Source organism: Homo sapiens, chromosome 2 (genome assembly GCF_000001405.40).
Source record: "Homo sapiens chromosome 2, GRCh38.p14 Primary Assembly".
In the NCBI taxonomy this organism is placed as follows: domain Eukaryota; kingdom Metazoa; phylum Chordata; class Mammalia; order Primates; family Hominidae; genus Homo; species Homo sapiens.
In genome coordinates, this window is record NC_000002.12 from 79502357 (window position 1) to 79518073 (window position 15717).

Here is a 15717-nt window from a genome sequence, read left to right on the forward strand (position 1 = left end):
TGTTGAGAATGTACAACTTCTTGGCATAAAAGTGAAGAAAAATTCTACAGCTTTGGGATACAAAAATAACAGACTGCATTTGTGATTTGCGACTTGGTCATTCCCTGTCACACATAACACTCCCTTCATTCAGGTTTTGAGAAATGCATTAGTGAGAGAAGTACTAGAATCCTCAAAACTGTGATTGAGGTGGTGAATATGAATACAGATGGAAGAAGATGGCTTATGAACTGATAATCGTTGAAGCTGAGTGCTGGGGTAATAGTGGAATAATTATGCTATTTCTATTCTTTTATATAATTTTATAATTATCCATAGGAAAATTAAAGGAGATGAGTTTTGTGGTGGCTGTCTTTTGTTGGCTGGGGATGATATTGGAAAACACCAACTTTGAAACAGGCTCCCTAGCTTTAGTGGAAATCATGAAATTCCTAAATAACAGAAGCTTAGTGAAAATGCTTAACTACCACAGAAAATGTGTACATGATGACCTGGTCTGTTGATGTCATCTAGATTGCAATTTCCTAGACTCTTTAGGGCTTGATCAATGGGCTCATGTATAAAGTGGCCACAGAAGCAAGTATAGAGATTCTGCAAGGGCTCAACAATATAGACCTTCTCTTACCAAAGCGATTTGACTACCATCCTTGCTGTGTGCAGGCACAAGTTTAACAGCAGAGGTCCAGCTCATATCCCGATATGGCACTATTCCTTGGGGAGACCAGGCAACCACCTGGTATCAGAGTGATTGCTCTGCCATTTATTTTGGGTATTTCATCTGCTTTTTCTGCTTCCAGTGCCTCTTCTAGCACCAACATTTTTTTTATTATGAAAATAAGCCCTCACAAAGAACAGGGCTCATAGTTGCAGGCACAAGGGAAAATGGTTGTTAATTTCTCTTCTTATTTACTGTATTAGGGTAAAACAATATCATATATGATGTCTAATAAGAACTGATACTACGTGGTATATGGAAACACTCGAAATGTAGATTATTGTCCCTTAGCTGGTGCCAGAAGCCACCATCAGAAGGCCTTTGGCGTGTCATATTCACCATCAAGACGTTCTGTACTACATTGCTTCTGACCAAAGAACTTATTACAAAGCAAAAGAAGTGCAGCAATGGTGTCACACAATTCCCTGATCTTACTACATACTTATTGGCTTAGAAGCAGCTGCCTTAACAGAAACATAAAATGCCCTACTGACATATTAGATACTGTGCCAGCTGAGAGACAATAATTTACAAATGTAGGATGTTTCCATACACTATGTAGTATCAGCTTTTACTAGACATCATATATGATATTGTTTTACCCTAATACATTAAAGAAAGAGAAGTGAACAGCTATTTTCCCCCAATGCCCACAATTGTAGGCTGTGTTTGTTGTGAGGGCTTATTTTCATAATAAAAAATGTTTCAAATGTTGGATATAATTCTTTCATTGAAATGGAAGTTGATCCACTACCCGGCCATTTTGGGTCCTTATTCTACTGAACCAACAGAAAAATAAGGAATTACCATGATTTTTCAGTGATTGATCCTGATTACCAAGGAGAAGTTGAGTTGCTGCTCTATAGTGGAGACAGAGAGAATTATATCTGGAATGAAGGAGGTTTCCTGAAGCGCTCTAAAGTTCAATGGGAATAATTGTTAGAAGCTTAGACAACCCAAAGAGGCTACTCCACTAAGGACTCAGACCTTCAGCAATGAAGATTTGGCTCATTCCCATCAAGTGAGGACGATATTAACTGAGATTGTGGCTGGGGGCAAAGTATCATGGAATGGGTGGTAGATAAAGAAAGTTATTCTAATGTGAGTACTAAAGCATACCACTATATATGTGAATATGTGAACTACTGTTTTTTTTTCCTTTATCTCTTTTAATATAAGGAGTAAAGATAGTGGTTAAATTTACAGTTTAATCTTTTTTTGTTTGTTTGTTTTGTTTTGACGGAATCTTGCTCTGTCACCCAGGCTGGAGTGCAGTGGTGTGATCTCAGCTCACTGCAACCTCCGCCTCCCGGTTTCAAGCAATTCTTCTGCCTTAGCTTCCCAAGTAGCTGGGACTACAGGCACATGCTACCACACACGGTTAATTTTTGTATTTTTAGTAGAGACGGGCTTTCACCATATTGACCAGGCTGGTCTCACACTCCTGACCTCAGGTAATCTGCCTGCCTCAGCCTCCCAAAGTGCTGCGATTACATCCGTGAGCCACCGCACCCGACCTACAATTTAATCTTTAATGACGGAGTATCTGGATGGACTTGTGACTTTGGATGAAAACTCATAGGTGGCATATAAGTCATAAGATTTTGCCTATTCCACTTTTGGGGACAATGTGAGGGTATCTTTCATTATATAAAGAGTGGATGCATCTTGATCAGGAGAAACATCATGTCATTGTCTTTTTAGTTGTATTAAAATTTAAGTACAGTGAAAAGGGTGTATATGGAGGCTGAGTTGCCAAAGAGTTGAAAGTGTTGATTATTTGACTACTTTGCCGCTTTTCCCACCATTCTTTAATTTTGTTCATAATTCTATGGTTGGGGAATCTGGATATTAAATTTTCTAGGCTCTGTTTCCAGCTGGTTTCTTAAGTTATATCCATAGGAGACACTGGGAGAAGACAGGAAGGCAGGAAGAGAGGAGATGCTATTGTAGTGTGACATCTTTCTTTCTCTTTCTGGTAGCACCTCTGGATTTAGATGCACTCCTTCAAGGACCATGGGTTCTGCAACAGTACCCCCTCTCCATTGTTCCAGCTCTGACTCAGATGGGCCCTCCTTGATGGCACTCCCAGCAGCACAGCCTTAGCACTGGTAAGACATCTCTTCTCTTGTGGTTCATACCCTAGCAGCAGTAGATGTTTCCTAACGTTGCTAATCGTTGGTTTTTTTCATTTTTTCTTCTTCACTCTCCCAACTTTTCTAACACCTGCATAATCAGTTCCTTATTTTAAATTCTACGTGTTTGAACTGTCTACAGTTGTTTACCTTTTTCTTCCTGGGCTTGGACTGATACAGTCATAAAACGACTGATTTATTTCCTTGCTCTACACTAAAATGCAATTAAGATTGAAAGAAAAGTGGACATTTCTTCTATTAGCTCTCTTTAGAAGTTAGTTATTTTTCAGAATCCATTAAAAACTTCTGTTTTTGTTCCATGCTCCCAAACTCCATAATATGTCAATTTCTATATCAAAATCTGTGACCATAGAATGAAATACGGCAATGAGCTAAGGCCTGAATTTCTCAACCAATGCCTGTGGAAGTCCAGTTAGACAAGGTCGGCTCCTGGAGCCAGAGGTGAGATTAACCTCAGGCTAAAGCATGTGGGCTGCATTATGGAAAGGTGTACAGTTGTTAGAGTGGGAATAGATGGGAATAGACATTGGATAATCCATAAATAGTGTGCTCTGTGCACTCTCATTACATTATATTGCATTTATCTCGAGTTGTCAGTTTGTCTCATTAAAGTATGAGACTGTTAATGGTACAAACTGTGTCTTTTACCTAAATAATCAACATTGAGAATTGTGGCTGTCACCCAATACACAAGTGTCAAAATTGTCTTGAATGGAGGAATGAATCAATGTGCCAGAGCTTTTGAATAAGGTTGAGTTTAACAAGATTGGGTTTGAGCCTTTAGTAAGAATGTCATAATAATACACAATGTAAACAGGCACTGGAACAATAGTGTTTGTAGAATTGGAGATCTATTAGTTCAGTGGCATTTATATTTTTTAATCAGCCAAACACTTTTTCAAATGAAATACTACAGGAAAATAATGTGTGTGTGCATGTGTGCATTTGTATGTAAATAAGGACATTTCTATGTCTTTGAAATTACCTCTGTAGAGGTAGGTGGTTTAAAACTTTGTTCGATGGAACATATATTTTTTTCTAACTCCCTAAAGCTCCTTTGCAAAGTATATTGGTGCATGTGTTACAAGTTAAAAAAAAAAAAAGGAATTTCTTCAACCACGTCCAAGCTGAGTTAAGTTGACTTATACAAAGGAATTGTTTCTCTTCCATCAGCAGGGAGGTATCAGAGTGCTGGGAAGAGCAGTATGGACCATGGAGTCAGACTGCATAGGCTATAAACCCACCTGTACCACCTGCCAACTCTATGACATGGTACAATAATTATACTCAGAACCTCAAAATTAGAGGTACTCTTCACATCAACATCTTTAAGATGAGGAATTTGAAACACAGAGTGTTTTCATCTTAAAAATGTGGTTGATATTGGTAATCTTTGGAAAAGCTAATGTGTAGAAACCTCTTAATATCACCAGTAACTATTCTGTAAGTATTATCTATCATTATTATACATCATCAAAACATATTTGGTAATTCAAAGTGGTAGAGGAAATACCTCTGTATTCTGGATATCAGGAGATTCTGTCCCAAATCGTTTTCACTATGGTATTCAGGACTGTTTGTGAAATATTTTGATTGCCAGGCACATGGTGGTTTTGTACTTCAAAGCATCTTGTGGTCACAGGAGTTATGTGACTAGTTTTGCCCTAATATACGAGTCACTCCAGGGCCAGACCAATTAATTTATTTCTTTCCCTGTATAATAGTCATGAATTAGATTCCAGATAGCGGCTATTCAGTTAGCTTGGGTCTCAGAAAGGGAATCTTGTATAAACAGAGCTATCATGTAACCCTCTGAAATCTGGGTGTTATTTCTTACCTCAGCATAACCTACTCCATATGGTTAATTCAGCAATTGACTAGTTTCGTGATTATGGGAAAGAAAAACACATTGAGTCTCAGTTTTGCCATCTGAAAAATAAGGAGGCTGGATAGGAAAAAACTATCACGAAAGTCTCTTTGAGTTCTAAAATTATGTATTCACTGATAAGAATAAAAGTGGCAGTGAGGATACTGCGGTTTGAATGTGTCCCTTAATGTTCATGTGTTGCAAACTTAATCCACAATGCAACAGTGTTGAGAAGTGGGAACTTTTAGAGGTGTTTAGGTCATGAATGGATTAATGCCATTACTGAGGGTGTGGTGAGTGGACCCATTATCAAGGAGTGGGTTCCTGATAAAAGGAGAATTCAGCCCCCTTCCTCTCCTGATCTCTCGGTTGCTGTCTCTTGCCTTTCCACCATAAGATAATGCAGCAAGAACGCTCTCACCATCTGTGACCCTTCGATCTTGGACTTCCCATCTTACAGAACCATGAGCCAAATAAATTTATTTTCTTTATAAATAACCTAGTCTCAGACAGTTTGTTATAGAAGCAAAAAACAGACTAAGAAGAGGATCAGACATTTTTTAAATCAAGGAAGAACAGAAATAAGCTCATTAATAAGCTGTGAGTCAAAGAACAGGAGAGTAAGGTGAAAACTAAGGTCAGCTGTTTCCCAAAGCATGTTCCTTTGAATCTAGCCACGAGATATATTTTGTGAGAGAGGCTTCCTTGTTCATATAAGTGTGGGAAATGCTACACATATTTCTCTTAAATGAACTTCATGCACATTATTGTTTTCTGTGTATTCACTAAAGAAAAACCTTTAAATGCTTTTCACCCAGCACACGCCAATACAATTTATTGTGGAAATCACTCTTCAAATAACTTCACAGTGATGAATGGGCTGAGCAGCTGTAATTTTTGTTTGTGCAGTATACTTACTTTCCCATGTCCTTCCTCAACATCTTTTCAGGAATTTCTCCTCTTCCTGCATAAGGTCACAGGAGTGAACATATGAACCAGAGTGTGCTATTCCTCTGGTCACAGTCATCTGTGACACAAATATGAACACAAGGCTCCAGCAAGTATAATCATATCCCTTGCCATGATTAATATTTTTGATGATCCCCTGGACTAGCTTAGCCTCATATATACACACCTTAGACTTCTCAGGTATGTGAGCCAAAATTTCCTTTTTGCTCAAAACTTAAATTGGACTTCAGTCATTTGCTTTTGAAAGAATTAAGACTGAAACTATTCTTCCATAGAGCAGATACAGGAAAAACATGCTCCAGGGTGACAATTGAGAGTAAAATGACACAATTTCAAAATGTATTAAACAGACAGCAGTCTCGGCTTTCTCCTAAAGGGAAAGTAAATCTATTAGGGAACCTGAAGATGAGAGAGATACAATTACTATGAGAAGACATATTAAAGCTTATTCTTTCTTTTTAAAGAAAAAGATTAATTGGAAATAAAAGATGATAGAAACAGATTCAAATTGGTCAAAAGACACTGAGGAATAATATTATTTTACTGCTTGATTAATTGACTCATTGATATTAGAAGTATTAATTAAAGCAAGTATACAGCTCTATTTATGGACAACAGTGTGCTAAAACATGTCAAGTATTATTTCATAAAATTCTCACAAGAAAGTCATGAAGATAGATAAAAATTGCCTCCATTTTGCAGACTGGAAAACTGAGTGTCATAGACATTAAAAAACTTGTCCAATGTCACAAACTAGAATATGGTACATTCTACCTATATAAGGTTATGGTTGAAATGTTTCAACAAGCAAAAGATAAAACAATTACACACATGGATCCCAAAACACTCATTCTGTTTACTTGAAAACATATATATATATTCACCATTGCAGTATATATATATATATATATATATATATATATATATATATATATATATATATATATATAAACAATTACCTAGGGATACAAATGATAAATATGTTTGAAAAAATGAAAATTAGAGTTAGAAACTACTGGTACAAAACAAAAAACTTAAAACAAGTTATTTTAATTTTTTAATAGTAAAAGGAATACATAAAACGACAAAAGTGAAAGTTTCATTGGTTGTTTCTCAGACAAGAGAAGAAATCTGCAGCTAGATTTGTAGGAAAAAGCTGGACCATATGAGGAGAAATCCAGGGGTTCAATTGATACATAATAAATATAGTGACAGGGTCTGAAATATTTAGGAGGTCCTTAAAAGATGAAATTGCTATAGCATCTTTATTCATAATTGCCAAAACTTGGAAGCAATCTAGATGACCTTCTGTAGGTGAGTGGATAAGTTGTGGTAAATAGAGACAACTGAATATTATTCAGTGCTAAAAACAGAGCTGTCAAGCCATGAAAATACATGGTGGAATCTTACATGCATATTACTAAGTGAAAGAAGCCAATCTGAAAAGGCTACATATTGCATGACCCCAACTCTATGACATTCTGGAGAAGGCAAAACTTGGAGACAGGAAAAACACCAATGGTTTCCAGGGGTTAGGAGCAAGAAAGAGAAGAATAGACAGAACACAGAGTATTTTTAGTGAGTAAAACTAGTATGATACCATAGTGGTGGATACATGTCGTTATACTTCTTTCAAAACCCCCAAAATGTACAAAACCAAGAGTGAACTCTGATGTAAACTATGGACTTTGGTGATGATGATGTGTCAATATAGGTTCACCAATTGTAACAAACATGCTACTGTGGTCCAGGGGTTGATCACAGGGAGTCGTGCCCTTGTGGGGGCCGGAGGTATATGAAAACTCTTTGTACTTCTCACTCAATTTTTCTGTGAACCTAAAACTGCTCCAAAAAATAAAGTCTATTAAAGCAATGAAATTGCTCAGGAGGGCTTGATAGTGAAATTTCTGGAGCTGACAGACTGAATTAGGGTCCTAGTGTGTAGAGACCTGACATTTAAATGAATAAGCAATACAGAAAATTTTACTTAAGATGCCAATATTGGCTTGGAGTATCCTAAAAATCTAGATGTCATTTGATTGCACATTAAATTGTATTATAATTACATACAGGATCTTCTGCATTTGAACACAATGCCATACCTTTAACAATGATCCTTTTGTTTGATATTTATGTTGGCATAAATTTTTAATATGAGTGAGGGAAAGAAGAAAATTGCTTGTTTTTCTGAGGACTGTATATGTTTATGTCATTGAAATGAAGGACAACACTTAAATCAAGAAAATCAAAAACAATCAGATTCACAAGCAGACTCAAAACAAAAGAAATAAGGGTTTTAAAAAATCCCCTTAGTTTACAATGGGGACAAACAACATGATAGCATTTTAGCATCTAATAATAGCCATTATTTATACAAGCATATTTAGACTGTTATCAGAGGGAAATAAATATGGCTGTAGTAACATTCAATTTGGATTTTCCATAGGGTAGACAGGGTTGAGGGTTCCCCTTTATTCAAAACATAAAAGAGTTAGTAAATTCCTTGGCAGCAGGGAACAAAAATCTCAGCTGCCATTTGCCTGCTGGTGACTGAAACCCATTGCCTGAGTAATTTCTTATCACTGTCTGATTGACAGACCACAGTTTGATGTATTTTGAAGAACTGAGGGAGACCAAGGGTCTGAGAAATCAAAGATGGCTTTTATGCTGGTTTTTTAATAACTCTAATTTAAAGCAATTGCATGAACTAAAAGCTTACAAATATTTTAGAAATGACTTTTAAATGTCTCTCGATAATATTCTACAGTTTTGAAAGTCACTACAAAACAACAAACAAGACAAATCTCATTTTGACTAGACAGCACTTGGTTTACATTATTTTTCTTTTGTGGTCTACATTATTTAATTGCAATTAAAACAAAAATTATAAATGTAAGCCTAATTACAACAATACAAAAAACTATACATGAATCCTTGGAACTTAAAGAGATAAATTTGTCTGGTCACTCTTTGGCCTGTAGTTTTTAGTTTATTCCCTCAGGCCTGACCAGAGTATGAAAAAGATCACAATAATCATTTTTTTAAAAAGTCAATTCTTACGTGCATGCTCTACCTCATTTGACTAGGACAACTTTACTCTTTCCAGATTCTTGGACCATTCAAATTCATAGGTGTCTTCTGCCTCTGGAATGACACTGTATGCAGTATCCCTTTTTATTTAAGCACCTCGCTGGTGCTTACCACATCTTACCACATCAGGGACTTGTGATGCCTCTCTAAATCTTATTCATGCTTCAAAATTCAGCTGAAGGCCTACCTCCTTCCTACCTACTCCAGTCCATAGTATGCACTTTTCATTCTCCACTCTTTATACCTTTTGGCACAAATCATTTGGCGCTCGGCACTTCATGAAGCACATCGTGTGCCTTTAGCGTGTTTCTCCTGTTTCTATAGGCAGTCTAAGAAAAACGCTAGGTGGTAAGAGCACGCGGTGTCACTGTCCGTGGTCCTGAAACATGGTTGCGTGCTAAGATTCTTCTTAAGCCAATATCCGGTGACTCCTGTTCACTTTTTCCCAGGAATTTTTAAATTGGTAAAGTGGTGGGGACAAGAAAAAAGAAAGCCAAAAAGATATTGGGAGAGAAAGATAGAGGCATGGACAGAGGTATCCCTCTCCAGTCATTCCCTAGAGAGAATTAAAAATAGTAGGATTTTATGTAATTTTCAAACAATTGCAGACGCGAACTTGGAAGCAAAAGGGGGGAGGGAAAAATATCAATGGCATAGCCATTGATGAAGGAGAATTTAAAAAATGCATGCACTAAGTGACATAAAGCCATCCAAGTGTCGGCATGAACACACGCACTGATGCTAGTGGACTAGGATACCAAACAGGTAGCATGTTGTGAACTTAGCGTCGGTTGTGTCATACTAAACTTCCACAGATTTTCTTTTTGTTTCTCTCTCTTGATTTAAAACAAAACAAAATTGTCATTTGGCACTGTGGCAGAACAAAGATGACTGTAACTTATATTTCTCATCTGATGTAGCTGTGTACCTTTTTCACTGTTAGCACCTCTGTAACAGTTACATTCCAGCAACATCGAGTCCCAGCTGCCGATGGCTGGCGGCGCAAACACTCCCTGCCCTAGCTATGTAAGTTCCCCAACTACAGTATAACCTCTCAGAGGACGAACATTTTTGGATATCTCAAAATGCCTAAGTACAGTGTCTGGTACAAACTAGGAGCCAAGTAATATCCACTGAATCAAGAAAAGAATCACAATGCCTTCCACGGAGAAAATATTCAACAAAGGCTTGTTAAATGAGCAAATATTCCAGTTGTTTTAACAATTCCATCCTCTTCTAGGTTCTTTTAAAGTCCAAATCTCCCTTCCTCTCCCCTCGGGACTCCACATCCCAACAAACCTCCCTTCCGCGGCAGTCACTACCTTTGCAGCACTCTGGCCCTGCCCTCCTCCTGCCACGTGTCGGACCCCTGCTGGGCTGGCCCTCCTTTCCTACTCTGCGACACCCCTATCCCCCCCGCCCCTATCCTGCCCGCTCCCGCACCCGGTCCCTCTCCCCGGGCCTCGCGACTCCGGCGATTCAGCTCCGGGTCCCCGCCCGCAGGGTAACGCGGTTGTCATGGACACGGCACCTGCGCCCTACGGCGGTGCCCCTTCGCCGCCGTCCCCTCCCCCCACCTGCGGCGCCGAGCCTGCCGCGCCTCCAGAGCTCCGCCCTACCCCGCCCCGCCCTTTCGGGCGCTCCCCAGGCCGCGCGCGCCCGCGGCCCCCCACCCAGCCACCCCTCGATGCCCGGTGCCTTTCCAGGCGCCGCGGAGCCACGGGGACCGCGGGGGCGCGCGAGCGAGCAAGCGGCCGCGCATGCGCACTGGCTGCCTCCCCTAGCGGCGATCCGGGCCGCTGCCGCTCGCGCTTGGGCAGGACGCGGGGCGGGCGGGGGGAGGGGGGAGCGGCTTCGCTTCCAGCCCCGAGTGAGGCGGAGACCCAGGCGGGCGGGCAGAGCAGGCGGCACCGCACCTCGGCCAGAGGCGGCTGCAGCAGCTGCTGCCCTTGTCCCTGCCGCCGCCTCTCCAGTCCCTTCTGTGATTACCACTCCAGCTGCTGGGAACGGGCGAGAAAGAGGAGGAGGCGAGAAACTCCCACCGACCCACAGAGGTGAGTCCCGGGCAGAGCATCCTCCATCCCTGCCTGCCTCCCTCCCTCCCCACCTCCCTCCCATCCTCTCCATCCTCCCCCCTCCCCGCTCCCCAACCCTCCCTCCCTCATCCTTCCCAACATCCCTCTCTCCTCTCCCCTCCTTTCTCCCTTCCAGCCTTTCTTTCATCCCTTTCTTCCTCTCTCCCAGCCCCACTTCCTTCCCACCCTTTCTTTCTTCCCCGTCTTCCTTGCAGCCACTCGCCCTAGAGCACAGCTCTGCATCCCTTTCCTCTTGTCTCCATCTCTTCTTCCCCCCTTTCTTACCTCTTCCCCGGTGGGAGGGTGGGAGCATCCCTTGCCTGCTACAACTGTCCGGATTCAGGGGTTCCAGAAAATTGGGTGCATATACTGAGAGACACACTCTTAAACAGCGGGTGCCCTGCAGATTCCTAAATTTTTAGGATGAAGGGTCAAGTTGGGTAGAGTACTGGGAACTGGAGGGAGAAGAGGATCGAAGAAGAATCTGTGGATTTGTGCTATATTAGGGTGGGGGTGGGGAGGGTTGTCACTTGGACATGCTGCCAACAGCCCCCATACCCCTCTTCAGCAGTTTCTTTTTTTCTTCTGGGAATTACATATTTCCAGTGTGTGTCTCACCAATTTAAAATCCAGCCTTCCCTGCTTTGATTGTCTCCGTGAGAAACCACAACGAAAAAGGAGAAGAGAGGAAAGGAACAAGAGAGAAAAAGGGGAGGGGAGAGGAAGGGAGGTGGCAGTGGAAGCTTGTGTTCTTTTCCCCTAGGCCTCTTTGGTTTGACATTTTCAAACCACCCGCCTCATATTTGGCTTGGAATTGAACCCGTGTGTCCTTGGTCCTGTCACTACCTACTTCAAAGGCAGAAACTCTCTAAACTTTAATGCCTGTGCACCACAGCATTATTTATGGAATGTTTTGCTCAGCATACAAAATACCAAGATAGAAAGGTTTGGGAAAATAGGGAGCAGAAGGGTGGAAGAGAGGTACTTTTGTTCATCATGGGTTAACTTCTCAAGTAGGATAATGGTTAGACAGTTTTGGAGAAATGAGGTTATACTCCACAGGCTTGTAAATATACCATTTAGATGGCATTAGCTGCATTAGAGCCTTTAACAGACACCCTTACCCATTTTCACCCACCTCGTAGGACCCCTGAAGATGTTTAAAGAGAAACATGCTGTGTGATTCTGTTTGTGGCTTACACCAATGGAAAAGTTGAATTAGCTTCGGAACCATTGTTAATAATTTAAAATTGCTGTTGGTTTTACATCACTTATTTTCACAGAATGCTATAATTTACCTTGCTCTCTTCAGCTTGCATTCTAACCCCTTACATTATACATGTTATTGGCAATTTGACAATTCTTTCTGTTAGCATTGCTGCTGTAAAGTTTATTTTTACATGGCGGGACAGCCATGCCTCAGAATGTTTAGCATATTTATCATCTCAGAAGGGTCCAACAGTGTAAGTATAAATCAAAAATGGATATTTTGAAGCCTATATTTTGTTCTATTTATATTCTCCTAAAACAACAGACCAAAAAACCTTAATATCTTTAGAATAGCTGTGTTTTGTGTTTAAGGAGTATGTGTGAGGGACCAAAATTAATGGTGGATTCTTTGAAGTTGCCAGTAAGACACTATGCTGTGGAACACATTATTGATTTTTTTCTTTTCATTTAAATTATTATATGACAGTAGTGCAATATGCAGTTTTGCATTTTATGGGAGTGTAAAGCAGGAGTTGAGATGAAGAGAATTGCCTTCCTAAGTGATTGAGTGCTGATTTGATGAAGAGCTGATAGTTAATCACCTGAGTCAGTGCTGGGGAAGTGTGTAATATTAGGAGTGATGGACTCCTTCAACTCCCCATGGTAGGAATGCAATTCCATTAATGGCTTGGCTGACTCTTCAGCCATGTAACTAAAGCTTGGTTGAATTACCAGTGTTACCAACATCCTGATGCAGATTGCAGTCAACCCTGTGTGTATTGGAATGCTTGCATTACTTAATAGTGAACTTGTAGATAGGAGTGTTTTCCTTGTTGGTGTTCCTTTCCCTAGAATACCGTGAAACAAGTGAAAGACTGTCATGTTAATTATACATGAGCATAATAAGTTAGTTTTGTCCAAATTTCTTTCAAAAGACTTTTCCCCTGCCAGTATGTCTGCTGTTCTTTGTGGGGCTTCAGAGTTGTGAATGTGGGGAGGTGGCAGCCCCTCTATGGGCTTTGCTCTTTCTTTGTTGCAGTTTTTCTGCAGAGTGGTGTGGGTGTATGCCCCAGTTTTTGATACTGTGCTTAGTATAGAAACACAGGTACTTTTCACTTGCCTCCTTTGTAAACATTAGTCCACTGAGTGGAAACAAAACATACCAAGTTATTAAAGAACTAGCAAACAAAGTAACATTTTTTTACAGCAAAATTTTAAGAGAGATGAGTACAATTAATAAAATGTGCATTTTAGAAGAGCAACTAGTGTCTTTGAAAAGCAGCTTGCCTCCTTGACTATAATCCAGTTTGCAGATAAAGACTGACTTCCTCTGAAGAATTTCATTTCTAGAGGCTTCTGTCTTTAGTTGACTGGACCTTTAAAAATACTTGATACAATAAAGAGCCAATAGAAGATCTTATGGACCCCTGTAAAATGTATTCCGGATATATTCTCTGTGTCTCCCTCCCTCAGAGCTCTTAACACCTGCCTAACCCTAGGCTGAGTGGTGTGAGGCATTCCAAGAAAGTAGAAAGAAGTAAAAGACACTCTCTTTGACCTCAGCTTACAGTCTAGTTGAGGAGAACAGGCATTTGCATGAGGTCCTATTTCACAGTGGCAAGTAACAAGATCTTTGGAGACAGCTTTAGATGTGAGTACAGGCTCTAGTTCTTAGGAGGATCATGTCCTTGTGTACAATTTAAATCTGTTTTTTCATCTATAAAATGAAAATTGTAAGGGACTCTGATTCATGGGCTTGCTTTAAAGGTTAAATGTGTTTAGCTCAGTACTTGGTACAAACAAAACATGTATTAAGTAAACATTATTATAATTAGGAGAAATCACTTAAACACATTCCAAGACCATATATGATTATGTACTAGAAAGACAGAAGCGCAAGTAAGTACTAGAGGAATTGGGAAGAAGACGGGTGTCTGTGTAGCTGGGAAAATATTATATTTGGTAGTAGCACTGGAGCTTGGACAGAGACTCCTGGGAATGATTTCATGCAGGGTGGGCTGGAACAAAAGCAGAGAGGGAGGAAAAGGCATGGTGTGTTTGAAGAACATTAGAGAGACTATTTACTGGAAGATTTGGCATACAGGTGAATGTATTGAAAGGTAGAGTACATACAGTCAGAGTAATTATACTATCACTGGGTTAAGACAACTTCTAGTGTGGGATCCATTTCATTACATAGAAGGTTCAGCTACCCATGGAGGTAGTTTCAGTTCTTTATCTCACCTAAAGCCCCATCCTGAGACATGGAATCCATGATCGGTGTCATAGTGAGGACCCAGAATATTCTTAGGTCTTTTCTTTTAACTTCAAGGCAGAGGGAAAACTTGACCTTTGCTGAACAATAAAGATTTAATATTATGGTTACTAGAACTCTCCCTCATTTTTCCTTATCCCATGAATATTCCAGGACTATATCTCGTTGTATAATAACTAAAATTATTGTATTTTGACCTATGTGAAGCCAGTACTTGTTAGGGTAATTGTATTTCCAGGGGCTTATTTACTTTTCCTAATTACAAAAGCCCCTTTTCATTGGTGTCCGAGATTATTAATAAATTCTAAATGGATGGTGCTCTTTCAGTTTTGTGGCTGTGAGACTAATGTGTGATGAGGATAGAGAGTCTAGGAAGGAATTTGCATGGAGCAGGTTAAGTATACTCTCTGTGTGGAGAGACAGATGCTCACTGGCTACATCTGTTGGCATACCTTTGTTTTTAGTTGAGGTTCATAAACTATTTTGAAAAATTTATCCATAAAATCTTTATCCAACAGCATAAGTGATATGAATTGAATTCTTTTATTCAAAAATGGATTTCCAGAAAATTTTACCCACAAGTTTGAAGTATCAGTATTTATCATGCTCATGTTTAACCCATTTTAATAGACACAATTCCATTGTTTTCTCCCAAATAGTAAAATGTTTCTCATATATTTCTGTTTTGTAGTTCAAATAATATACAAAATTGTCCTCCTGAATATTATCTTAAGATATATTAGTCATAAACACAAATATATTTCTAAAAACTAATGTAAATATACTTCTAAAAACTAACAGACCATAGACTGTAGTAGTTTTATTTTTTATGTTGAGATCTTTCTTAATTGATGTTTTAAAAATTCAGCAAATCTAAATCATACATTTTCAGATGTATTGCTGCTAGTCAGCTTTATATTATACTACCAGAGATTTTTGACATTTTTATTTTCCTTATAAGTGAATTTTTACCTCAGAGCTGAATTCTAACTCAGCCATAAATTTGCATTATATACCTCTTTGAAATTATTACTCATAACACATTTTACAAAACATAGTGATAGTCTAACTTCAGACACCTTAATTTTCTAGGGCTTTACTATTGAACACTATTTTATTTTTCCTTTTATTAATAGGCCTTATCTGCGTACACAACTATTAGACTATTACATTTCAGGTATTAGGAAAACTTGCATTAACAGGAGTGAAAAAGCAGGTATGTTCCCCATACGTGAGGGTGGTGACCAAACAGGGAGGTGGAGTAAGGATGAGACAGAATGAATTAATTGTGTTTTCTCTTTTGAGCTGAAGGATGTATAACTATCTGTTCAATTAGGGGTTTTCTAAATTTTTGCTGCGAT

General features: G+C 39.4%; 1 protein-coding gene across 9 annotated transcripts in view; it reads left to right on the forward strand.

The window, feature by feature from the left end:
• CTNNA2 (catenin alpha 2) overlaps nt 1–15717 on the forward strand; it is a 1463404-nt gene that overhangs the window by 316980 nt on the left and 1130707 nt on the right. For 7 of the 9 annotated variants that reach the window (XM_011532556.3, XM_017003403.3, NM_001282597.3 and 4 more), the window contains exon 1: nt 10695–10851. The gene's annotated coding sequence lies outside the window, so the exon portion shown is untranslated. Of the gene's footprint in view, nt 1–2697; nt 2827–10694; nt 10852–15717 lie in introns of those variants that run through there. The other 2 variants (NM_001399737.1, XM_024452714.2) reach the window with 1 other exon arrangement.